The sequence below is a fragment of the Homo sapiens genome, chromosome 7 (genome assembly GCF_000001405.40).
Source record: "Homo sapiens chromosome 7, GRCh38.p14 Primary Assembly".
In the NCBI taxonomy this organism is placed as follows: domain Eukaryota; kingdom Metazoa; phylum Chordata; class Mammalia; order Primates; family Hominidae; genus Homo; species Homo sapiens.
Window position 1 is genome coordinate 143,724,121 of NC_000007.14, and position 27,755 is coordinate 143,751,875.

The following is a 27,755-nucleotide window of genomic DNA, read 5'->3' on the forward strand; positions in this document are numbered from 1 at the left end:
TCCAGGGCCAGATTGAGGAGGAGGCCACAACTCAGGTGTGAGAGACTAAGAAGGGGATTAGGTACTATTCAGTTTCTGACCAAGTAGGGGAAAGCTATTTGCTTTCCAATCAGCACAGAGATTCTGCAATTATTGGGGATAACCAGGATGGTGAAGAAAAGTCCAATAATGGAGAAGAATGAAGGAGATAGTTTGGGCGGACCCTCCTCAATGCTCATCTCTTCCTTCTGTGTTCCCAGGCTGGATGCATTCAGGATACCCCATCATGTGCCACCTGGAGTCTGTGAAGGAGATCATCAATGAGATGGACATGAGGAGCAGGGGTGTGTGGGGCCCCATCCATGAGCTGGGCCACAACCAACAGCGGCATGGATGGGAGTTCCCCCCACACACTACTGAGGCCACCTGTAACCTTTGGTCAGTCTACGTGCATGAAACAGTCCTGGGGATCCCCAGGGCTCAGGCCCACGAGGCTCTGAGCCCTCCAGAGCGAGAGAGGAGAATCAAGGCCCACCTGGGAAAGGGAGCCCCCCTGTGTGACTGGAATGTATGGACAGCCCTGGAAACATATCTACAGGTACTGAGCAGAAATTCTGGGAGAAGGGGATGACCAGACCCCTCAGTCATGTAGCGACCTGGATCCCAGTAGCCCTCCACCTCCTTCGCCACTCCACCAGCCTGGACCTCCACCTCCCCTGGAAATGAGAGGGACTGGGCCGCAGGGTGGTGCTTCTTGGGTTATACCCCTCTAAGGCAGAGAGAATGGCACCTGTCTCACTCACCTTCTGATTTTGCAATGTAAGAGGAAATGAAAAATATTATGAAAAAAATAGAAATATAGCATATTATTCAAGGGCAGAAACTCTGTTAGACATTCCTGCAGCTGAATCACAGCTCTTGCCCTCATTGGTTTTGTTCTTGGTCTCCTAATAAGTGTTCCATAAATGGTCATTGCTTTGTTTAGTTTTGTTTTATTTCACCTGAGTTTTATGAGTCAAATGAGTTATGCTTTTTTATAATAACGGAGGGTGTCTGCAATGCAGCTGCATTACAATAAGAAGGCATTGTTGGAGACAAATCTGCTAACAAGGGTCTCATCATCCATCACCCCACTTGAAGCCAAAATGATTTAAAATGAAGAGCCAGTCAACCCAATAGTAGAACACTGAATTCATAAAGCAAGTCTACTTCCTGTGAAATAAACACAAATCCCTGCCCCCTCCCCTAGCCCTGCATTGAATGTCGATGTTTTCGAGTTGTCAATGTTGTTCCCCTTTCAGATCTCCTGCAATGTCTCCCACAGCTCTATGGATAGGAGCTGTCTGGCCCACTTTTCACAGAGGCACACACTATTTTAAAGAATTTAAGCAATCTCTCCAGTAGCCCCCATTTAAGTGAAGGACCTAGAACTTAAAATCAGGACGTAATGACAAGCCCCAGGCTTTCGCATTGCCATACCCTCTCTTAGTTTTTTGTGCCTTTCACTAATTTTCTGAAGAGTGAATGTGAGACAGTCCCAGTCAATGAGGTAACTTTGTATTGCATTCATTTCCATATCCTTAGATAGCCAGTCTGGGGGTATACGGGACCACTGACCACAATGGTAGGTTGCCCCTAAACTGTAAGTTTAAGCCCTAATTCTGTCCTAGTCTGCTACCTACTCACTGTGGAGCCCCGAATATCAGTTCTCAATAGCTCTAGAGAGACCAAGTCTGAGACTTGGCCTCAGGATAAACAGGCACCTTCTGACTCCTCTTCCTGCTAGAGGGCTTCTCCCCAGCATCCGTGCCACTGCTGCCTTAGCTCAGGCCTCGTTAGTCTTCCCTCAGTGTATTCCAGTAGCCTTCTAAGTTGTCCCAGCATCTTGCCTCAATCCTCTATGATCCATCTTCCTTACACTCCTTCCAAAATAATGTTAATACTCTGTCTATCAAATGCTTACAGTGTTCTCTAGCACATATAGGGTAAAGTCAAAGCTCATTAGCAGGGCATAGGAGGCCCTTCATGACCAGCCTCACCAGCACCTCTAGCTACATCTCCTACTGCTCTCACCTCCACATTTACCCTTCGGCATGCCAACCTGCTTATGGTTACGGACACAGCTTGCTGTTTTGGCTTCTGTGCCTCCCCTTGTTTGCTTCCTGCTGCTGAATCATGCTGGAACATCTTGTCCATTAGCTGTCAAGTCACCTGTCCAAATTCAGCTCTGTTGGCCCTTTCTCTCCTGGACATCGCCTCCTTGATAAACCAACAGTTTTAGCAATGTGTTTATTTACGTGTGTTTCTCCCTTTGGCCAGTGTTCTCTAGAAGGACAAGAGCTCTTAATGATGTTTGCCTAGCACAGTAGCTGGCGGTGTGTGGGTGTCTAATACATGTTAAACGTTTAATAAATGCTTAATTTATTGATGCATTGATTAATAAGTGTCAAAGAGCAAGCCAGTGAGAACAGATGAGCAATAATAAGGATACAACAGTGAGACTCTGAGGTAGGCTTGGCTTCGGTGGTGTTATCTGTCTTTGGGCTTTTATGAGCTACAGTCAGAGAATGCTCATCTATTAAAGGGAGAGTGGGGATGTGAAACCCCAGATCCCCGCTAACTGGAAATTTGTATAATCTTAGTAAACAAGGGCCTTCTGCCAAGGGCTTTCCGGAGAGCTGCCCCTTATGAAGTATGAGCCACTCTCATTAGCTGCCCCTTATGAAGTATGAGCCACTCTCATTTTTAGCCCCTCGAGACAGGCTGGATTTTTTTCTTTTTCTGCCCTAAATGCAGTGTTCTACAGAGCAATTTTGTATCATTGCAGATAGCCACAGGTCCAAGATGGCTATTAAAAAATAAGGATTATTATGATGTCTGGAAAGTATAGTATTGGAGGTTCGCAGCTTTTAGAATCTCAATAGGCCAGATATGTAGGAAGTGAGGGTTTCTCATCTCAGTCAGGCCCAAACCTGTCCTGATGCTGAGGAAAACACTTGAGATCTGGGAAGACAATTGTTTAAAGATACTAATAGTGGACATTTATTGAGTATTTACCTCTATTCAGACATTAGGTTTCCCCTGAGCACCCCCACTAGATTCAGGGGGTGTTGTTTTGTGGCCAAGAGGAGGAATGAGCCAACAAGATTGCATTATTGTGCAGGGGCAGAGTGGGGAGATAGGGGCACATACCCAGGATGAAGGTAACGATTGAGGGGAGGTGATCATGTGAATGAAATATATTTAAGAACGCACATGTCACGTCACTTTTGCAAACTTGACACCTCATTCTGTTCCTTCTTTCCCTTTTCAGCTCCAAGAGGCCTTCGGGTGGGAGCCATTCACCCAGCTCTTTGCTGAGTACCAGACCCTCTCTCACCTCCCCAAAGACAACACTGGCAGGATGAATCTATGGGTGAAGAAGTTCTCTGAAAAAGTGAAGAAGAATCTGGTTCCCTTCTTTGAGGCCTGGGGCTGGCCTATCCAGAAGGAGGTGGCTGACAGCCTGGCCTCCCTACCAGAGTGGCAGGAAAACCCCATGCAAGTGTACCTCCGTGCCAGGAAGTAAAGGATGCCCCACAAGGCGGGAGAGAAAAGGCAGGGTCACGCCATCAACTCCACCATGGGGCTTTGGCCGTGTGCTCAGTATCTGGAGCCTGAATCCCGCTTCCAAGCCTGACCACTAGATGGTGGCCACGGTCATAAGAAAAAATGGAACCCCTTTCTGTAAAAGGTGCCTTGTGCTTCTTTTTATTGTTTTTCTGCCTACGCTATTGCTTTCCCCAAGAGACTCACTTCACCTCTTAGTCTTCCAGAGAGGATCTTTCATCCTGCCATCCTGAGGCTTCTATTTTTGACCAATAGCTCTAAAGACCACGGGTTCCCATAACAACCTGATATCCCTTTCTCATCCCTGCCATCCCTGAATAAGGCTTCTAATTTATTATGCTTTAACAAGTTTTCAAATAGCAAGCGAGACACGCTGGAATAGTGGAGAGAGCCCCAAACCAGCTTTGGTTCTATGGAAAATCACTCCACCTCTCTGTGTTTCTGTCTTCACATCCATGACATGAGGATACAAATCTTTTCCTCACAAAGCTGTTGTTTGATTTCTCCTGGTCCCATAGTGGACTGTTAACGGTGTCCAGTCTAGCGTGCACATCCTGGGTGCTGAATCTCACTTCAGTGTTGACCCCCTTGGGGTTAGCATTCAGTCCTTGTATATTTAGAGAATGTCAATGTTTTCCCAGACATGGTATCAATAATGGTAGTTGTCAGCAGTATCTTAGCCCTTTCTACATTTTTTCTCCCACTTCTGGAAGGATTCTTGGGTATAACCTAACCCAAAGAAAAGTGGCATGTGCTGAAACTGAGTGTCACAGAGCTGTGAGGTTGGGTCTTTGGGATTAGCTTCATTTTCCAGGGTTTGCCCTTTGCCCTTCAACCAAAGGACAAAGTCATGTTAACAGCTGCTACTAAGTCTATATGCCCATTCGTTCATACCACAAAACAGGCATCTGACTCCTCTGGTCACCATGGAATCAAGGCACTGTCAAGTGGTGGGGGGTCCACAGGCACAGTGGGCTTCACTCTGGAACAGGATTACTGGGTGCAGCGGATGTAATCCTCACTTAATCAACCCACACCCCAGCATCCCCTGAGCTTTCTCTTAATCTCATTCTAGCCCATCTTGACTCTTCGGTTAGAGGGAGTTCTCATTGGAGATTTGTCTCTGGGATTAATGAGTGTATGCCTAGCTACTTTCTCCAGTTTACTTTTAGACCATATTGTTGTTTGTTTTGAATATCATTCCTTAGGCTATGTTGAGAGTAGAGTGGCTTCCCATTAGGAGAACTAATTTAGGGCATGTCTTTTGCTGAATCCCGTCAGCATATTTAACAAATTCCCAATTCTAGATAATTTCCTTTTATTTCTCTAGTACCCTTTGCCAGGGGCTCTACACATCAAAGGTGTTCATGAAGTATTTGTCAAAGGAAAGAACAGTAATGACACCTAACACATAATGAGTGATTAGTATGTTCCAGGCATTGCGTGAGCTATTTACTGTGAGTGATTTAATGTTATCTTCCCAGCAGACCTCTGAGGTAGGTACTAGTATGATCCCCATTTCGTACATGAGGAAACTGACACTAAGGGACATAAAATAAGTTTTTTGAAGTCACAAAGTGAATAAAAGGAAGAACCAGGGTTTAATTGAAGCCCATAGCAATGAAAACATTGTGGAACTTATTCTTCATGAATGGTTTACAATTTAAACAAAATGTCACCTAGAAAATAGATGAAAATATGTTCAACCAGGTCTGGATTTTTCCAATGTTTACTACTGAATTTTCATTCAATAACAAGTTTAACTTCCAAAAAGGTGTTGGTATCTGATTTTCTGCCTGCCTCAGAATGTGATTTGTCTGCCTTTGGGTCATCCAGCCTTGGGTAGAGAAGGAATTTGAACTCAGGAAATTCAACTCCAGAACTGATGTTCTTTTTTTTTTTTCATTTAAGTTCTGGGATACATGTGCAGAACGTGCAGGTTTGTTACATAGGTATACATGTGCCATGGTGGTTTGCTGCACCTATCAATCCATCATCTAGATTTTAAGCTCTGCATGCATTAGATATTTGTCCTAATGCTCTCCCTCCCATTGCCCCCAACCTCCCGACAGGCCCCAGTGTGATGTTTCCCTCCCTGTGTCCATTTGTTCTCATTTTTCATCTCCCACTTATGAGTGAGAACATGTGTTGTTTGGTTTTCTGTTCCTGTGTTAGTTTGCTGAGAATTATGGCTTCCAGCTTCATCCATGTCCCTGCAAAGGACATGAACTCATTCTTTTTCATGGCTGCATGGTATTCAATGGTATATATGCCATATTTTCTTTATCCAGTCTATCATTGGTGGGCATTTGGGTTGGTTCCAAGTCTTTGCTATTGTAAATAATGCTGCAATAAAAGTATGTGTGCATGTGTCTTTATAGTAGAATGGTTTATAGTCCTTTGGGTGTATATCCAGTAATGGGATTGCTGGGTCAAATGGTATTTCTGGTTCTAGATCTTTGAGGAATCATCACATTGTCTTCCACAATGGTTGAACTAATTTACACTCCCAACAACAGTGTAAAAGCATTCCTGTTTCTCCACAGCCTCACCAACATCTGTTGTTTCCTGACTTTTTAATGATCGCCATTCTAACTGGCATGAGATGGTACCCCATTGTGGTTTTGATTTACATTTCCCTAATGACCAGTAATGATGAGCTTTTTTTCATGTTTATTGGCCACATAAATGTCTTCTTTTGAGAAGTGTCTGTTCATATCCTTTGCCCACTTTTTGATGTGTTTTTGTTGTTGTTGTAAATTTGTTTAAGTCCCTTGCAGATTCTGGATATCAGAACTTGTCAGATGGGTAGCTTGCAAAAATTTTCTCCCATTCTGTAGGTTGCAGAACTGGTGTTCTCAACAGTGATGTTAGGGTAAAATGATGGATACTGCTGGGTTTAATAGATTGCCCTAGAAACAGAGACAATGTCTGGCTTCTTACACACACACACACTTCCTGGTAGAAGTTGGAGCCTGTAGCTCCTTGTCTCTCATACAGAGAGACTGTGACTTTGCCTCTTGTTTTTAAGTTGATAGTTAATTGTAACTGCAGTATTCTCAGATTCTTTTGTCTATTCACAGAAACTAATTTGCTGCCAGTGATAGGGATGATCCATGATTTCTGAGACATTTACTTCCATAATTTCACAGTTCTAAGTCTAGAAAAATTATTAGAAGAAAATTATTGGATGGTCTTGGAACCAACCCAAAGAAAAAAACATGTCCTGTGAACAGTAGGATAGATACTGAATGTAGCTTGTCTCACTTTGGAACTAGTGCTTATAATTTCCCTTGGACTGTATATTTTTGTCCAATCACTACTGTACAGGACATGGGTTTGGTTTGCTTTTCCCTCCCATGAGCCACTCAATTGCTTTGCTAAAAGCCCCATCAGTTTTCCTTTGGTTTCCTTTGGTACACCAACATCAACACAGAGTCCACTTGGTTTGGAAGGGGTTGGCCCACACTGTTGGCAGGAGTGGGCACAGAATCCATGCTCATCTAATTGTCCATACCTTCCAACAAGGATTGGTTCAAGTGATGGGAAGGTGGCCCTTGCCAGGGTGATGAAGTGCATACGACAGACTTTTACTGGCTGTACTGGGAAGCATACATTTTCTTTGGTACTGGAGAATTGGTAATGACAGTGCCAAATGTTGTTTGTTATTGAAGCTAAGTGAAGGGGCTCTTGAAGGATCCTTATTCAACTTTTGCCTATGTTTAGAAATTTTGTAGTAAAATTGTAATGGTGTAAGTCTACTATTTATACCTATAGAAGTAAAAGACTTTTGCCAGGTGCAGTGGTTCACGCCTGTAATCCCAACACTTTGGCAGGCCGAGGCGGGTGGATCACGAGGTCAGGAGTTCGAGACCAGCCTGGCCAATATGGTGAAACCACATCTCTACTAAAAAAAATGCAGAATTAGCTGGGTGCAGTGGCTCATGCCTGTAGTCCCAGCTACTCAGGAGGCTGAGGCAGGAGAATCGCTGGAGGTTGCAGTGAGCTGAGATCGCGCCACTGCACTGTAGCCTGGACAATAGAGTGAGACTCCGTCCAAAAAAAAGAAAAAAGAAAAGAAAAAAAGAGAAGTAGAAGACTTGTTTTTTTTAAGTTTTGAAACAATTTCTTAGGGAGAGTAGGATTGAAAGAGTAGAGAAACAGGGGAGATAAAGACAGAGTAGGGTTTGGGCAGATTCCTGTTGTTTTTCTTATAAGCTCTTTGTTAGTAATTTAATATTGTATTTCTACCACATATGTTTTCTACCCTATGCAAGCATGACACCTTTTAAACAAGATAGATATAAACTGTATTAAAATTTACAACACAGCTTGCATGCCAACATAGTCTTCCATGATTTGGTCTCTGCGAGTGTTTCCAGATTTGCCTCCCACCTCTATCCCTTGCTTTCTTTATTCCAGCTGTGATGCACACATTTCAGCGTGAATGCGGCCCTCCTTCTCATTTCTACAGATTGTTCTGTGCTCCTGGGTCATTCCTTTCTTCCACCTGTCCTTCCCTCCACTTCACAATAGAATAGAGAAGTTTCTGATGTTTGGGCTTCCTTTTGGGTAGAACAACAACAAAAGTCAACTAGAAAAATGTCCTTTTTTAGAGTTATATTTTCAGAGTGAGGACTCATTTATCATTTATATTTATCATAAGAAATTAAAACATTTTCACTTTTTGTTTTTTCCTGTTAAATCTTTAAGTATCTTTAACCAGGACTTAATTAAACTTGAATGGTCTGCAATCTTTTTCAAATGTGAATAATTTCAATGTATATTTTCTCCATTTGCTAAATTTGGTAAAATAGTGTTTAGTGTTGTATTTTTAATAAAACAAAACCTGCCCTGTGGAGAAGGGACACACTTTGTGGACGTGCCATTTGGGTCACACACAAAGGTGGGCCACTGGGGTGCCACCACTGAGCCAGCCAGGATAGCAAGAGCGACATTCTCTAATTCACACAGAGGCATTTTATGAGCTAGTGGTGGCCTTGGAGAAGGGACGGCACTTCTCTATATTACTTTGGATTGGGGTATCAGTATTTTTAAGGTTTTCTTTTTTTCTTCAGCTCTTAACCCAGAGGTCATTTCCTCGAGCCGTGTCTCTAAGCCTCATGTTCCGATAAAACCTGTAACTTCCTTTATATATCAGTCATCACATTTGTAATTATTTGTTTAAAATCTCTCTTTCCCACTACATGGAAGCTTCATAGGGGCAGGGACTAGACCTACCCTATTCACAGCTGTATCTACAGCCCCAAGGGCAGGGCCTGTCACATATCAGTTTTGGTGTAGGGGTCTATTGTATTAACACATTACTAACAAGAGTGTATGATAATGGGAGAAGACTAGATGAGGATTTCCAACTATTGTATATGTTTGCTGTCTTTAGGCGGATCACCTGAGGTCTGGCGTTCCACACCAGCCTGGCCAACATGACAAAACCCTGTCTCTACTGAAAATACAAAAATTAACTGGGTGTGGTGGCACATGCCTGTAATTCCAGCTACTTGGGAATCTGAGGCAGGAGAATCACTTGAATCCGGGAGGCGGAGGTTGCCCTGAGCTGAGATCGTGCCACTGCACTCCAACCTGGGCAAAAGAGTGAGACTCTGTCTCAAAAAAAAAAAAAAGAAAAGAAAAAGAAAGAAGAAGAAGAAGAAAAGACCTCTGTTATTTATCCCTATTCAAGAAAATGGTTTCACTATTCCAGAAAGAAGCTTTAGTGTGATTAGAACCATTCTCCTATTTTTAGCTTCTGAAAACAGGCTGCACTGTGAGAGTGAATTTTCCATTAATTCTTATTTCTCCTTTTCCTTGGGACTTGGTCAGTGAATAGTATAAGCTATTTTCAGGAGTTTCTGTATTTTGGTGAAAAAAGTATTTATCTGACATTTCCTGGGCCCTATTTCTACTACATTTCGATGTCAATTCCTCTCCTCTGCTAACATTTCCAGCCAAAGTTAACTACAGTGTAGATACTTTCATTTTGAATTAACATTTTTCCTGTTCTGCCATGTTATTAGGTTCTGGAACAGGGATATATCCCACAATAACAGTAATGACAAATTAAGACCCCCCTAAAAAAAATTCAAATTATTTTATATGGCCTCCCAGCTCCAAAACAAGGCAGCTGAGATGCCTATACATGGCACCTTCATACCGGTACATCTATCTGTTAGTCTCCATTTCTGTAGAAGAAAACAAAAAGATGCTATTAGCCTACTTCAAATTGTTGTTCCACTTTTGAATCTAACCTAGTTTCCTATGATAAGTTATTTCTTCAGGCCCCTAGGCTGTCTTCACCAGAAACTTTGAAATAGAAACCAGACCTTTCTGAGTATTGCTCAGGTACATCTCTGATACACTGATTCATCTAAGATCAAAAGTGCCCCCCGCTAATATGGCCTCAGCAGCACGTAGCTAGCACATGAACAGCAGGTCAGCCAAGACGTTAAATGTGGTCAAGGTTTCCAAAGAAGGAGAGCTACTTTTCAGTCAATGCTATCTCCTTATAGGCATGGCATGATTGCGTTTCTCAGGATATTATTTTCATGAACTTGTTCCTGCTGCAAGGTCTTTAGTACCATGCCTGGCTTCCATTTTGAAAAGCCTTCTTGTGCAAGATTGGTGCACTTCCCAGTTCTGGTAGGAGGACAGTTTGGTCCCGTACTCAGCTTGCAGAAGTTCCTACATTTTCTACACACAACTCTTTGTACTGATTCACTTTTCATTTGGGAAAGCCATGAGAAACTTTTTTCATAAAAAAATATAACCATCATCTCTATAAACTCTTCAAGATGATAAAGGGAGAGAGCATCATTTTGCAATGTTAAGCATAGGTTGGGAAAAATGGTGTTGAGAAAAAATTAAGATAGAAATTGTAAACTATCTCTCAAGCTGGAGATCTAGAGAACAAAGAAGTTGAGTAACAGATGGAGAGAAAAAGTCCTCACCCTGAGGAGTAACCAAGAGCTTACCTGAGGAACAGCTTCCCAGACACCACTTCAAATATCATATTACCTCATATCAAGAGGATAAACCCAAAGGCAGCCCAATGGAGCAGTTTGATAAGCCATTTCTGTTTTAAAATTCAATAAGAAAGATCCCTTTGTTTCTTTTTCCTAGGCTACCAACAAATTTATAAAATGTTCTTGAATGTATTGTCCTTTTCATCAAGAATAATCTGAAAAAAACCCAATCATCTTTATTGTGCAGTACAGATGGAAGGGGAGAATTAACAACAACAAAGCCACTGCTTTTTATTCCTAGGCCCTTAATAGCCCTAAAACAACTAACTGTCTGTATTAGTTCATTTTCACATTGCTATGAAGAAATACCCAAGACTGAGTAATTTATAAAGGAAAGACGTTTAGTTGGCTCACAATTTTGCAAGCCTGGGGCAGTCTCAGGAAACTTACAATCATCGCGAAAAGGAAAGCAAGCATGTCTTACATGGTGGCAGGTGAGTGATGAGAGAGCAAGAGAGAAACTACCAAACACTTAATAAAACATCGGATCTCTTCAGAACTCACTCACTATCACGAGAACAGCATGGGGGGGAACTGGCCCCCATGATCCAATCACCTCCAACCAGCTCTCTCCCTCAACACCTAGGTATTACAATTCAAGGTGATATTTGGGTGGGGACACAAAGCCTGGCCATATCACTCTCTGTTGCTAAAAAAGAAAAACTTAGGTGGAGATTTGGAAATTAAAGTCCAGTGTAATTGGCCCCACTGTGGAGAACCAAGCCATGCAAGGACACTCACAATGATGAAAAAAAAATTCTCAGCACTTAGGTAAGGCACTCAGTTGGAACAATGCTTTCCTGGGTCTGCAGACTGGAACCTAAGCAGCTGTGTGCTTCACTTAGATAAATACATATTCAATGCATGAGACTGATTCACCCTCACAAATGATACTTCTTTTAATAGGATCATGCAGTCTACTCCCAGCCACATAGTTTTTGTCTTAAATAACAAATCATTTGAACAGGTAGTTAAAATGAGGACCATTCAGGTTTGAATTAGTAAAGTTACATATGGGAAGATTCCGTGAATTATTGTAGCAGACGGGAGTTATAACAAAAAATATATTGTGCATTTATATAATTTCATAATCCCATTCAAGCAATGACCCTAAAAATCTATTTTCCAGACCACATTTACTCCCAAGGATATCAGTGTAAGTTAGGTGAATCATCAATAAACCGCTTCTTTTCAGAAACTGTTTTAAGTGCTTTTATATTTATTTATGCTCACAACATTCCTACAGAGTAAGTACAATTACACTCTTCATTTTGCTGAGAACTAGTAAGCTGTGAAGCCACATTTCCAACCCTAGAAGTTGGAGCCCACACTCTCAGCCAGCATACTGTCCTATGGAGTTACTGGATCTGCCATCGCCTGTAACTCTGCCTGCATTAGACTATGTGTCTGAATACTGAATCACAGAGCAAGCAGAGTCCAACTGCCAAAACCAATCAGGTTATTCCTAGTTACACAAAAAGCAGTTACTTTACAGTAAAGGTCATTCATCCAAGGAACACTTCGCTCAGGATATACAATTGATTTTTTTTCCAATACCAAGACCGTGTCCAACCTAGACTGGAGGGTTTTAAAGATTCTGCGATTCAAAATAAGAGCTTGATGGAGTCTTAGAGGAAGCAGGTCTTACACTCAAGGTTTTTATCCTTTTTAAGGATGCCCCAACTCCTCTCATTATGTCTAAAAGCATTGGATAAGGGACCACATACGTTCCCATAGGTTATTAGCTCCAATAGCTGTAAAATCTAAATTCCCAACAAACTGGAGACATTTCAAGAGGCAGAAATCACCCTAGAATACTTTAGGGAAATAATAATGGTCACTTTTAAGTTTTAAAGAAGTGGGTTTTTATTGTTGTTGTTGGTGGTGGTGGTTTTGTTTGTTTTTGAGATGGAGTCTCGCTCTGTTGCCCAGGCTGGAGTGCAGTCATGAAATCTCAACTCACTGCAATCTCTGCCTTCTGCATTCAAGTGATTCTCCTGCCTGAGCCTCCCAAATAGCTGGGTCAACAAGTGTTTGCCACCATGCCCAGCTAATTTTTGTATTTTTAGTAGATACAGGGTTTGGCCATGTTGGTCTCGAACTCCTGCCTCACATGATCCACCTAGCCTCGGCCTCCCAGAGTGCTGGGATTGCCGGCATGAGCAACAGCGACCAGCCTTAAAGATGACCCTACCTTTATTTAAAATGACCCTGCTTGTATTTCCTCCCCTGAATGCCTTAAAGTCCCTGACTTATTTGAAAACTTAGTATTTCGAAACAGTTTCAGAAAAAATTAAAGCCTTAGTGGTTGGTCACACTAAATGGGACCGTCAAAGCTCCTACTGCTCACAAATATTGTTAAAATGGAATAACACGCACTGCTAAAGGGAATTAAAGTCACTCCTATCTTGAATGAACCCTCGACATTTTAAGTTCTGTGTCCTCTGCATAGAATCTTTGTTCTTTGTCTCTCCCTTGTGGCCATTTAGAAAACCTTTCAGCTCCTGATCACCAGTTGAAACAGTGAAATTGTTCCCATTGTGGCAAACACAGTCTCTTGCCGTGGTTTTAATTTAAAAGAGATATTTATGTTACCCTTCCCATGAAGCAATTGACTGGTCAATATGCTCTCTACTTGTGTTATCCATAAAAATTTCCCAAACCAATTTACTTTTAGTGTCAGAAGATGCAACCCAACAATATTCTTTTTTTAATGAAATACACTGTGCTCATAAAAAATGTATCTAAAAGCATATGTACAATTTAAATAATAATTAGAAAGGGAACAATCAGATCAGCAACAGATTAAGAAATAGAATGTTGCCAATAATTGAAGTCCTCCATATGTTCCTCCAAGTTCATTGTCCCTCTCCTACCACCAGATGGAACACTAATCTGACTTCTGTGATCATTCCTTTTGCTCCTTTAGTTTTACTACCTATGTGCACAAACTTAAACTACATAGTTTAGTTTTAACTTGTTTTAAACTGTATAAGAATACAAGAAAGTTATATTATATGTAATCTTTTATGACTTGCTTCTTTAGTGCAATACTGTGACATCGTCTGTGTTGATTTGTGTAGCTCTACTTCATTTTTCTTTCTGCCTAATACTCAGTTATATAACTATAATACAATCAGTTAATCTATTTTGCTGCTGATTGGTTTTTGATTGTTTTTATTTGGGGCCTATCTGATACTACAAACATCCTTTACATGTATATCTGTGCGAGAGTTTCTCTGGCATACCCTAGGAAAGGAATTGCTGTATCGTAGAATATGCATAGCTTCAACCTTCTTAGATAAAACCAAGCTGTAGATAAAGACAAGTCAAAGATAAATCATATCACTTAGAGTATATGAGTTTCCATTGCTCTAGATCCTTAGGAACACTTGATATTATGAAATACTTTTTTTTCCAAAGTGATGAGTGCATAGTAATATATTATTGTGGTTTTAATTTGCATTTTCCTCATTACTAATGATGTTAAGCAGCTTTGCATATATTAACTAAACATTTGATTTTTGCTTTTATTTTGAAGTGCTCATTCCATTTTCTTGTGTATTTTTCTATCGGATTTTCTGTATGTCACAATGTTTTAGATATATAAACTTGGTCAGTTACATGTGTGGCCAACAGCTTTTCCCACTCTGGGCCAATTTTCACTCTTCTTGTGGTGTATTTTAATAAACACAACTTCTTAATTTTAAAGTAGTCAAAGTTATTAATCTTTTTTATGATTAATACTATTTGTACCATGAGTAAAAAAAATTGTTTACCCAAATTCCACAAAGAGATTTTTCTATATTATCTTCAAAGAGTTGTATAAATTTTTAAGTTTAAATGAGTTTTGGGCATAGTGAACTAGGAATACAACTGTAGTTTTTTAAAATATGGATTCCTAATTATAGCACTGTTCATTGAAAGGTTCACTCTTTCTGCCTCATCTACGGGGCCAAAAGTCTGGATCTGTGTGGATCTCTTTGCAGGCTCTCTATTCTTTTCTATTTTTTTTCTTCATCTCTATGCCAATGCTATACTATTGTAATATCTTCATAATAAATCTTGCTAATTATTCTACCTTAGTTTTTGTCAAGAACACACAATTATTCTTGGTTGTTTGTGCTTCCATTTAAATTTTTAAACCAGCTTGTTGCATTCCACTAAAACAAGTGAGTAAACAACTACAATAATGAAAAACCCTGTTGAGATTTTGATTCTAAGTAATTTTTTAAGAATATGCATCAATTAGTGGAGACTTGAATTTTTTTTTTTTTTTGAGGTGGAGTCTCGCTCTGTCGCCCAGGCTGGAGTGCAGTGGCACGATCTTGGCTCACTGCAACCTCCACCTCCTGGGTTCAAGTGATTCTCCTGCCTCAGCCTCCCGAGTAGCTGGGACTACAGGTACCCACCACCATGCCCAGCTAATTTTTGTATTTTTAGTATAGACAAGGTTTCACCATATTGGCCAGGCTGGTCTTCAACTCCTGACCTTGTGATCCACCCACCTCGGCCTCCCAAAGTGTTGGGATTACAGGCATGAGCCACTGTGCCCGGCCGAGAATTGATTTTTTAAAAATTAGTTTTCCAGAGGGGAGGAGGCAAAGCAAGATAGCGGAATAGAAGGCTCCATTGATAGTCTGCCCTGCCACCACAAGGACACCAGGTTAACAACTATCTACACAGAAAAAATACCTTCATACGAACCAAAAATCCGGTGAGCCCTCATAGTACCTGGTTTTAACTTCATATGGCTGAAACAAGCACTGAAGAGATAGAAAAAAAACAGTCCTAAATCAAGTATGCCACCCCTCCTGCACCCTTCAGCAATCATGGCGTGGTGCAGAGAGCGTCTCTAGGTGCTGGGGAAGGAAGAATACAGCAATTGTGAGGCATTGAACTCAGTGCTGTCTTGTTAGAGCAGAAAGGAAAACCAGACCAAACTCAGCTGACACCCACCCACAGAGGGAGCATTTAAACCAGGCCTAGCCAGAGGAGAATCACTGATTCCAACAGTTAGAACTTGAGTGCCTGCAAACTTCACCACCGAGGGCTATAACACTCTGTATCTCCAAGTAAACTTGAAAGGCAGTCTGGGCCATAAAGACTGAAACTCTTAGGTGAGTCCTGGTGCTGAACTAGGCCCAGAGACAGTGAACTGGGACTGCATGTGGCGTACAGAAACACTAGCTGGGGCAGCTAAGGGAGTGCTGGCTTCAACCCTCCCATAAACCCAGGCTGCACAACTTATGGCTCGGAAAGACCTCTCTTTCTTCCAGTTGAAGGTAGGAAAAGGGAGAGTGGGAAAGACTTTGTGATGCACCTAGGATACCAGCTCAGCTACAACAAAACAGGGCAACAGTCAGAGTCACGAGGTCCCCACTGCAGGCCCTAGCTTCCAGATGACATTTCTACACACACCCTGGGCCAGAAGGGAACCTGCTGCCTTGAAAGAAAGGACCCAGTCCTGGCAGCATTTATCGCCTGCTAACTGAAGAGCCCTTGGGCCCTGAATAACCAGCAGCAATACCCAAGTACTACACCAAGGGCCTTGGGTGAGCCTTTGAGGCTTGCTGGCTTCAGGTGAGACTCAGGATATTACTAGCTGCGGTGGCTCTGGGGCAAAACTTCTGCTTGAGAAAAGCAGAGGAAAAAGTAAAGGGAACTTTGTTTTGCACCTTAGGTACCAGCATGGCCACAGAAGGATAAAGAACCAGTCAGGCTCTCGGGGTCCCCAATTCTAGGACTTGACTCTTGGACAGCATTTCTGGACCTGCCCTGGGCCAGAGGAGCACCCACTGCCCTAACATGGGAGTCCCAGGACAGGTAGCATTTATGACAAGCTGACTTAAGAGATCTTGGGCTTTAAGGGAACTTTGGTGGTAGTCTGGCAGTACTCCTTGTGGCCTGGGTGGTGGTGGCTATGGGGTGAGGCTCCTCTGCCTTTGGAAAGGGGAGGCAAGAGTGGGAAGGACTGCATCTAGTGGTTAGAGTGCCAGTTCAGCTGCAATACAAGAGAGCACCAGGTAGACATCTAAGGGTTTTTACTCTAGTCCCTGACTCCCAGATGGCATTCTGGACCCACTTCTGGGGCTTAGGGGAGCTTGCTGCCCTGAAGGGAAGGGCATAGGCCTGATTGGCTTTGGCATTTACTGATTGTAGAGTCCCAAGGCCTTGAGGTAATGTAGGCAGTAGCCAGGGAGTGGTTACAGCAGACCTTGGGTGAGACCCAGTAAGCACTGGGCTGGCTTCAGGTCTAACCCAGAACAGTCATAGTGGTGGTGGCCAAAGGGGTGCTTGTGCCACTCCGCCCCCAGCTTTAGGTGGCACAGAACAGAGAGAGAGAAATTCTGTACATTTGGGAGAAAGTAAGAAAAGAGAATAAGAATTTCTGCCTGGTAATCTAGAGAATTCTCCTGGATCTTGTCCAAGACCATCAAGGTGGTACTTGTACAAGTCTGCAAGAACCATGATGTTACTGGGTTTGAGATGCCCCTCTAAAGTAGATACAGTTTGGATCACAAGACTCAAGTCCTTTCAGGCATCTGGAAAGCCTTCCCAAAAAGGACAGCTACAAGCAAACCCAGACATTGAAGACGACAATAAATGCCTAACTCTTCAATGCCCAGACAATGAAGAACATCCACTAGCATCAACACCATCCAGGAAAACATGACCTCACCAAACAAACTAAATAAGGCACCCAGGGCCAATTCTGGAGAAACAGAGATACGTAAACTTTCAAACACAGAAATCAAGATAGCTGTGTTGAGAAAACTCAAAGAAATTCAAGATAACACAGAGAAAGAATTCAGAATTCTATCAGATAAATTTAACAAAGAGATTGAAATAACTAAAAAGAATCAAGCAGAAATTCTGGAGCTGAGAAATGCAATTGACATACTGAAGAATGCATCAGGGTCTTTTAATAGCAGAATTGAGCAAGCAGAATAAAGAGCTAATAAACTTGAAGTCAGGTTATCTTGAAAAAACAAGACCCACTCATCTGTTGCCTACAAGAAACACACTTCACCTATAAAGACACACATAGACTGAAAATAAGGGGATGGAAAAAGATATTCTATGCCAATGGAAGCCAAAAAAAGAGAAGAATTCACTATACTTATATCAGACAAAATAGATTTTAAGACAAAAACTATAAGAAGGGACAAAGAAGGACACTATATAATAACGGAGGGCTCGATTCAGCAAGAGGATGTAACAATTTTAAATATGTATGCACCCAACACTGGAGCACCCAGATATATAAAGCAAATATTATTAGAGCTAAAGAGAGAGATATGCCCCAGTGTAGTAATAGCCGGAGACTTCAACACCCTACTTTTAGCATTGGACAGATCTTCCAGACAGAAATCAACAAAAAAAAATCAGACTTAATCTGCACTATAGACCAAATGAACCTATTTACCCAGTAGTCATTTAGGAGGAGATTGTTCAGTTTCCATGTAGTAGTGTGGTTTTGAGTGAGTTTCTTAATCCTGAGTTCTAATTTGATTGTCCTGTGGTCTGAGAGACTGTTTGTTATGATTTCTATTCTTTTGCATTTGCTGAGGAGTGTTTTACTTCCAATTATGTGGTCAATTTTAGAATAAGTGCAATGTGGTGCTGAGAAGAATATATATTCTGTTGATTTGGGGTAGACAGTTCTGTAGATGTCTATTTGGTCCAGAGCTGAGTTCAAGTCCTGAATATCCTTGTTAATTTTCTGTCTTGTTGATCTGTTTAATATCCACAGTAGGGTGTTAAAGTCTCCCACTATTATTGTGTGGGTGTCTAAGTCTCTTTGTAGGTGTCTGAGAACTTGCTTTATGAATCTGGGTGCTCCTGTATTGGTGTATGTATATTTAGGATAGTTAGCTCTTCTTGTTGCATTGATCTTTTTACCATTATGTAATGCCCATCTTTGGTTCTTTTGACCTTTGTTGGTTTACAGTCTGTTTTATCAGAGACTAGGATTGCAATCCCTGCTTCTTTTTTGCTTTCCTTTTTTCTGGGTAGCTTCCTCCATCCCTTTATTTTGAGCCTATGTGTGTCTTTGCAAGTGAGATGGGTCTCCTGAATACAGCATACCACTGGGTCTTGACTCTATCCAATTTGTCAGTCTGTGTCTTTTAATTGAGGTATTTAGCTCATTTACATTTAAGGTTAATATTGTTATGTATGAATTTGATCAAGTCATTATGATGTTAGCTGGTTATTTTGCCTGCTAGTTGATGCAGTTTCTTCATAGTGTTGGTGGTCTTTACAATTTGGTATGTTTTTGCAGTGGCTGGTACTGGTTGTTCCTTTCTATGTTTAGTGCTTCCTTCTGAAGCTCTTATAAGGCAGGCCTGGTGCTGACAAAATCTCTCAGCATTTGCTTCTCTGTAAAGGATTTTACTTCTCCTTGATGTATGAAGCTTAGTTTGGCTGCATATGAAATTCTGGGCTGAAAATTCTTTTCTTTAAGAATGTTGAATATTGGCCCTCACTCTCTTCTGGCTTGTAGAGTTTCTGCCAAGAGATCCACTGTTAGTCTGATGGGTTTCCCTTTGTAGGTAACCTGACATTTCTCTCTGTCTGCCCTTAACATTTTTTCCTTCATTTCAACCTTGGTGAATCTGACAATTCTGTGTCTTGGGGTTGCTCTTCTCAAAGAGTATCTTTGTGGTGTTCTCTGTATTTCCTGAATTTGAATGTTGGCCTGTCTTGCTACGTTAGAGAAGTTCTCCTGGATAATATCCTGAAGAGTGTTTTCCAACTTGGTTCCATTCTTTGTGTCACTCTCAGGTAAACCAATCAAACATAGATTTGGTCTTTTCACATAGTCCCATATTTCTTGGATGCTTTGTCCATTCCTTTTCATTCATTTTTCTCTAATCTTGTCTTCTGCCTTTATCTCATTGAGTTGATCTTCAATCTCTGATATCCTTTCTTCCACTTGATCGATTCAGCTACTGATACTTGTGTATGCTTCACGAAGTTCTCGTGCTGTGTTTTTCAGCTCCATCAGGTCATTTATGTTCTTCTCAAACTGATTATTCTAGTTAGCAATTCATCTAGCCTTTTTTCAAGGTTCTTAGCTTCCTTGCATTGTGTTGGAACATGATCCTTTATCTCAGAGGAGTTTGTTACTACCCACCTTCTGAAGCCTACTTCTCTCAATTCATCAAACTCATTCTCCATTGAGTTTTGTTCCCTTGCTGGTGAGGAGTTGTGATCCTTTGGAGGAGAACAGGCCTTCTGGTTTTTGGAATTTTCAGCCTTTTTGTGCTAGTTTCTCCCCATCTTCGTGGATTTATTTACCTTTGGTCTTTGATGTTGGGACCTTCGGATGAGGTCTCTGAGTGGACATCCTTTTGTTGATGTTGATTCTATTTTTTTCGGTCTGTTAGTTTTCCTTCTAACAATCAGGCCTCTCTGCTGCAGGTCTGCTGGAGTTTGCTGCAGGACCCTCTTTGCCTGGGTATCACCAGCGGAGGCTGCAGAACAGCAAAGATTGCTGCCTGTTCCTTCCTCTGGAAGCTTTGTCACAGAAAGGCACCTGCCAGATGCCAGCCAGAGCTCTTTTGTATGAGGTATCTGTTGGCCCCTACTGGGAGGTGTCTCCCAATCAGGAGACATAGAGGTCAGGGACCCACTTGAGAAGGCAGTCTGATCCTTAGCAGAGCGTGAAGTTCAAGGCTGTGCTGGGAGGTCCGCTGCTCTCTTCAGAGCCATCAAGCAGGGATGTTTAAGTCTGCTGATGCTGCGCCCACAGCCACCCCTCCTTCCAGGTGCTCTATCTCAGGGAGACGGGGTTTTTTATCTATAAGCCCCTGGCTGGGGCTGCTGCTTTTTTTTTTTTTTTCCCAGAGATGCCCTGCCCAGAAAGGAGGCAGTCTGTCCACAGTGGCCTTACTGAGCTGTGATGGGCTCCACCCGGTTCAATCTTCAGAGCGGCTTTGTTTACACTGTGAGCGTAAAACCGCCTACTCAAGCCTCAGCAATGGCGGATGAACCTCCCGCGACCAAGCTTGAGCGTCCCAGGTAGAGCTCAGACTGCTGTGCTGGCAGCGAGAATTTCAAGCCAGTGGATCTTAGCTTGCTGGGCTCTGTGGGGGTGAGACCCACTGAGCCAGACCACTTGACACCCTGGCTTCAGCTCCCTTTCCAGGGGAGTGAAAAGTTCTGTCTCACTGGTGTTCCAGGTTCCACTGAGTTATGGGAAAAAAAAAAAAAATTCCTGCAGCGAGTTTGGTGTCTGCCCAAATGGCTGCCCAGTTTTGTGCTTGAAACCCAGGGCCTTGGTGGCATAGGAACTGGAGGGAATCTCCCAATCTGTGGGTTGTGAAGACCGTGGGAAAAGTGCAGTATCTGGGCCAGAGTGCACCATTTGTCACAGTGCAGTCCCTAATGGCTTCCTTTGGCTAGGAGAGGGAGTTCCCCAACACCTTGCACTTCCCGGGTGAGGCGACTCCCCACCCTGCTTTGGCTCGCCTTCTGTGGGCTGCACCCACTGTCCAACCAGTCCCTATGAGATGAACCGGGTACCTCTGTTTGAAATGCAGAAATCGCCCATCTTCTGCATAGATCTCACTGGGAGCTGCAGACTGGAGCTCTTCCTATTTGGCCATCTTGCCAGCCGGAGCTCGGATTTTTTATTTTTCTTCCTTTCCCTATATATTTTTTTTCTGTTTCTTTCCCCTTCCCTTTCCTCCTCTCCCTAGAGGATGTGACTGAGGATAATGCTGGGTAGGGTCTTTTGACTTTGCTTCCATAACCCTATGCACTTCTGTCCGCAGGTTTTATATTGGGCTGGGTACTTTGACCTACAAGCCAGTAGATGGGGGCTTATGGGTAATAGCAGGTTGCAGCCAATGGGGCTGGGTATATACTCGATCCTCCTTTACTGGAAAAACACTGGGTAGGGCTGGACCTGGCAAGTCCATCTACAGGTCCCCCAATGATAGGCACAAGCACCAGCTCTGAGGGAGAGTCCAGTGGGCAGCCACCAAGTGTCCAGAGGCGTGCCTCGGCATGGAGGTAGGAAACCTCCTTGGCCCCAAGTTCTCTGCATAGGAGTGTCAGAGGCAGCCTGATCTCTTAATCCAGGAGAGTGGCTGCTCCAGATGCCTGGAGATCTGCCTGGTTGTGGAGTGGAGAGGGTCTCCTTGCACCACTATCGCTGCGCAGGAAGGATGGGGTGGCTCAAGCTACTTACTGCTCCAGGCAAGCAGGTGTTCCAAATACCTGGAAATCTGTGGAGCAGAGAGGGTCCCACTGCACCGCAATCTCTGCACCAGAAGAATGGAGCAGCTCAGACTGCTGATTCACGCTAATGGGCACTCTGAATCCCTGGATATCTGCCTGGGCAAGAAGTGGAGATGGCCCCCTTGCACAAGGATCTCTGCACAGGAAGGAAGGGGCAACCCAGGCTGCTAGCCCATGAGAGCGGGTGCTTTAAATGCTTGGAGATCTGCTTATATGTAGAATGGAGAAGGCCCTGCTACACCACAGTCTCAGGAAAGTAGGCTGGGACACCCAGCAATAACACACACAGACCAGTTCTAGTTCATCAGGCTGGCCCTGGCTGAAAGTCTCACTGCCCAGGAGAAACCACAGCCATAGCAGCTCTCCTCTTGCCCAAGGCCTGTGACTGGGGAAAGCACAATTCCCGTGCCTACTGTTGAGGTATTTTCCATGGTTCTGGCTGTGGAGGACCCTACCCTGATCCAGAGCAGGTGCTCCATTCTCTACCCCAATACTAAAATGCCTGCATGGCCACACTGCTGGGTTGCCAAAGAATGGCTGACTTTAGATGCACCCAAATTAAAAATGGTATCCTGTTCTCTGTCCTGGGACTGGGAAAATGCCTGTAGCTTTATCCAGTGTCTGTCCCTATCAGCATCTCCAAGCCTCTCCTGAAGTTAGCTCCAGGATTTGGGAGAAACAAAGTGCTGTCTCTCAGCCTGGATTGCTCTGATCCTCAGTGGAAACGTGAGTCACAGAGGGAAGCTTCTACCTCTCATGTGCTGGGACTTCATTCACTTTTCTCAGCTGGACAGCATTATGGTGGCTGTTTGCCAGCATTCTCCTTCTCAGGATCTGGAGTGTTCTTCACAATTCCAGTGGATCTCCATTTTCCTTCTTGAATTAAAGCTCACAGTATTTATCTTTATGCACTGCCTTGCTATTTCCAAGTGGCTGTGGCATGCTAAAAGCTTCTAATTGTCATCTTGAAAAAAAAATCTATGAACAATGTTTGATATGAGTTGGCCAATACTCAACTGAAAATAAAAAAATTTATATGCAAGGATAGTCTCTGAGGTTGAGCATTTTTGTTCAGTGATGAAGCATTTGAATTATCAACATGGTTAATGCTATGGAAATCTATGGAACCAATTCGTTTAAGAAATGGATTCGTATCTTAATAAAGAACATCTTTTTTATTGTTTAATTGCTGAAACAAGATGTCAGCCTATTACCCTAATTAACCAGTTCAATCACAGCCATTCACATCATCTAGTACCAAGTGGTATTTTTCAGAGAAATGAACATGAGGAGGGAAACTCCTTGACTGGAAAAAAAATTGATACATATAATCATTACAGAGCTGTATATTTATATAAGACCAACTGTGAGATGAATGAAGAAATCTCTGAGATTCACTGTTGAGTAGCTTAAAATTTCCAAGTCCTCTGCTAGACTTGAAAACTATTTAGTGTTGAACAAAAATAAGATACTATATCTCACAATTCCTATATGAATGCTTCCATTCCTACTTTATTTCTGCTTTCATTTTCACGGCTCATCTACAGTCTCTCTTCCAGCCTCCCATTTGTATTTTACAACATGCATAATTACAGATTTATTCTTTAATTATCTCATTTTCATACGATTTTTATATCTCTTGAAAGATTTCTTGGAAACTTCTGTCTTTTTTATTTTCCAGAGAGGCAGAGTATTTTTAGGCAATAATATTTTACCTTATCATGCCTTTCAACTATTACAAGAAAAAGGGAAAGTAGTAAAATAAATAAACAAATACAGACAGTCACCAACTTACAATGGTTTCACTTAAGATTTTCAACTGTATGATGGTGGGAAAGTGATACGTATTGAGTAGGAACCATATTTCAAGTACTCATGCTACCATTATATTTTTCATTTTCAGTACAGTACTCAATAAATTACATGAAATATTCAACAGTTTACTATAATATAGGCTTTGTGTAAGATTATTTTGCCCAACTGTAGGCTAATGTTAGTGTTCTAAGCACGGTTAAGGTGGGCTAGGCTAAGCTATGAAGTTGGGTAGGTTAGGTTTATTAAACATATCTTCAAGCCAGGTATAGTGGTTTGTGCCTATAGTCCCAGCTGCTCAGGAAGCTGAGGCAGGAGGATTGTTTGAGCTCAAGGAGTTTGAGACTATAGTGCACTATGAGCACACGTGAGAATAGCCACTGCACTCCAGCCTGGGCAACATGGCAAGAGTCTACATTTTGTTTAAAAAAAACAGCATCTTCAACTTAGAATAGTATCAACTTATGATGGGTTTATTGAAACATGATCTTATCATAAGTTGAAGAGTATCTTTATATAGTAGAATATAATAACATACTACAGACTTATTTTCTCAAAGCATAAAGATAAACCACACTAATGATCATCCATGGGAGAGGGACACCTAGACAATGTCCTGCAAAATGAGAAATACTTGTAAGACATACTTTACATTCCAGACTGAGTCTCTTTCACCATGAAATAAAATCATTAAGAAATTTTTAGTAATATTTTAATTAAAATTTTAAGTATAGAAAGAAGGTTGTATAGCTTTACATTAAAAATAAATTAGTACGTGACTTGGCTACTTGACACCAAAGTAGCTGGTGCCAGATTCACGCTTCCATCATAATTTGATTATGAGCATCATAATTGGAAGTTGACTTGGGACGCTGGAGCTTGGTGCGGGGAGGGGCATCTGCCATTACTGAGGCTTGAATAGGTGGTAAACAAAGCTGCTGGGAAGTTCAAACAGGGTAGAGCCCACTGCAGCTAGCAGCTCAGCAAAGCCACTGTAGCCAGACTGCCTCCCTGGATTCCTCCTCCCCGGGCAGGGCATCTCTGAAACAAAGGCAGCAGCCCAGTCAGGGGATTATAAATAAAACTCCCACCTCCCTGGGACAGAGCAGCTGGGGGAAAGGGTGGCTGTGGGCACAGCTTCAGCAGACTTAAACGTCCCTGCCTGCCAGCTCTGAATAGAGTAGTGGATCTCCCAGCACAGTGCTTAAGCTCTGCTAAGGGACAGACTGTGTCCTCAAGTGGGTCCCTGAACCCAGTGCATCCTGACTAGGAGACACCTCCCATTAGGGGTTGACAGACACCTCCTACAGGAGAGCTCAGGCTGACATCTGATAGGTGCCCCTCTAGGATGAAGCTTCTAGAGGAAGGAACAGGCAGCAATCTTTGTTGTTCTTCAGCCCTCGCTGGTGATACCCAGACAAACAAGGTCTGGAGTGGACCTCCAGCAAACTCCAGCAGACCTGCAGCAGAGGGGCCTGACTGTTAGAAGAAAAACTAACAAACAGAAAGGAATAGCATCAATTTCAACAAAAAGGACATCCACACTGAAACCCCATCTTCATGGGGTTTCATCTTCGATGTTGTAGGTCACCAACATCGAAGACCAAAGGTAGATAAATCCACAAAAATGAGGAAAAAGCAGTGCAAAATTGCCGAAAATGCCAAAAACCGGAAAGCCTCTTCTCCTCCAAAGGATCACAACTCCTCGCCAGCAAGGGAACAAAACTGCATGGAGAATGAGTGATGAATTGGCAGAAGTAGGCTTCAGAAGGTAGGTAAAACAAACCTCTCTGAGCTAAAGGTGCATGTTATAACCCAATGCAAGGAAGCTAAGAACCTTGAAAACACATTACAGGAATTGCCAACTAGAATAACCAGTTTAGAGAAGAACATAAATGACCTGATGGAGCTGAAAAACACAACACGATGACTTTGTGAAGCATACACAAGTATCAATAGCTGAATCAATCAAATGGAAGAAAGGATATCAGAGATTGAAGATCAACTTAATGAAATAAAGCATGAAGACAAGATTAGAGAAAAAAGAATGAAAAGGAATGAACAAAGCCTCCAAGAAATATGGGACTACATGAAAAGACCAAACCTACGTTTGATTGGTATACCTGAAAGTGACCAGGAGAATGGAACCAAGTTGGAAAACACACTTCAGGATATTATCCAGGAGAACTTCCCCAACCTAGCAAGACAGACCAACATTCAAATTCAGGAAATACAGAGAACACCACAAAGATACTCCTTGAGAAGAAAAACCCCAAGACAAATAATCATCAGATTCACCAAGGCTGAAATGAAGGAAAAACTGTTCAGGACAGCCAGAGAGAAAGGTCAGGTTATTCACAAAGGGAAACCCATCAGACTAACAGCAGACTTGGCAGGACCCTACAAGCAAGAAGAGAGTGGGGACCAATATTCCACATTCTTTTCTTTTTTTTTTCTTTTTTATTTTCTAGACCACTGAGAAAATCTTTGTTTACACTAAATTTCAACAAAATTTACATAAATACATTCCAAATGTACAATTTTCACCTCTGATTTTTTCACGTCATTTAAAAGGTTAGTCTGTCCTGTTCCTGTTTTTCCTTTCAGACACCAGTGTGGCACTGACGTTGGCAGGTGGAGGGGAGCTCCCAGGGAGCTGGGGGGTGCCTGAGGGCTCAGGCTGCTTGGGGCAGACTTCTGTCTGGGCCGCCAGCTTTTCAGCTGCATCCCTGCCCTCACATTCTTAAAGAAAAGAATTTTCAACCCAAAATTTCATATCCAGCCAAACTAAACTTCATAAGTGAAAGAGAAGTAAAATCCTTCACAGACAAGCAAATGCTCAGTGATTTTGTCACCACCAGGCCGGTGTTACAAAAGCTCCTGAAGGAAGCACTAAATGTGGAAAGGAACAACTGGTACCAGCCACTGCAAAAATGTACCAAATTGTAAAGACCATCAACACTATGAAGAAACTGCATCAACTAATAGGCAAAGTAACCAACTAACATCATAATGACACGATCAAATTCACACATAACAATATTAACCTTAAATGTAAACAAGCTAAATGTCCCAATTAAAAGACAGACTGGCAAATTGGATAAAGAGTCCAGACCCATCGGTGTGCTGTATTCAGGAGACCCATCTCATGTGCAAAGACACACACAGGCTCAAAATGAAGGGATGGGAGAAGATTTACCAAGAAAATAGAAAGCAAAAAAAAAAAAAAAAAAAAAAAAAAATCAGGGGTTGCAATTCTAGTCTCTGATAGAACAGACTGTAAACCAACAAAGATCAAAAAAGACAAATAAGGCATTACAAAATGGTAGAAGGATCAATGCAACAAGAAGAGCTATCTATGCTAGATATACATGCATCCAATACAGGAGCACCCAGATTCATAAAGCAAGTTCTTAGAGACCTACAAAGAGACTTAGACTCCCACACAATAATAGTGGGAGACTTTAACACCCTACTGTTGATGCTAAACAGATCAACAAGACAGAAAATTAACAATGATATTCTGGACTTGAACTCAGCTCTGGACCAAGTGGACCTAATAGACATCTACAGAACTCTGCATGCCAAATCAGCAGAATATACATTCTTCTCAGCACCACATCACACTTATTCTAAAATTGACCATATAATTGGAAGTAAAACACTCCTCAGCAAATGCAAAAGAAGGGAAATCATAACAAACAGTCTCTCAGACCACAGTGCAATCAAATTAGAACTCAGGATTAAGAAACTGACTCAAAACTGCACAACTGTATGGAAACTGAACAACATCCTCCTGAATGACTACTGAGTAAATAATAAAATTAAAACAGAAATAAATAAGTTCTTTGAAACCAATGAGAACAAAGACACAACGTACCAGAATCTCTGGGACACAGCTAAAGCAGTGTTTCGAGGGAAATTTATAGCAATAAAAGCCCACAGGAGAAAGTGGGAAAGATCTAAAACTGACACCCTAACATCACAATTCAAAGAACTAGAGAAGCAGGAGCAAACAAATTCAAAAGCTAGCAGAAGACAAGAAATAACTAAGATCAGAGC

At 42.1% G+C, this 27,755-nt stretch overlaps 1 protein-coding gene across 11 annotated transcripts in view; it reads left to right on the forward strand.

The window, feature by feature from the left end:
• Positions 1-6,290, forward strand: part of TCAF2 (TRPM8 channel associated factor 2) — a 109,437-nt gene extending 103,147 nt beyond the window's left edge. For 5 of the 11 annotated variants that reach the window (NM_001438663.2, NM_001438662.2, NM_001438665.1 and 2 more), the window contains 2 exons: positions 240-577; positions 3,293-5,971. In NM_001438663.2, the coding sequence (NP_001425592.2) occupies positions 240-577; positions 3,293-3,547 (593 nt within the window). In that variant the 3' untranslated portion in view covers positions 3,548-5,971. Of the gene's footprint in view, positions 1-239; positions 964-3,292 lie in introns of those variants that run through there. The other 6 variants (NM_001363538.2, XM_047420218.1, NM_001130026.3 and 3 more) reach the window with 2 other exon arrangements.
• Positions 6,291-27,755: the final 21,465 nt, after the last annotated feature.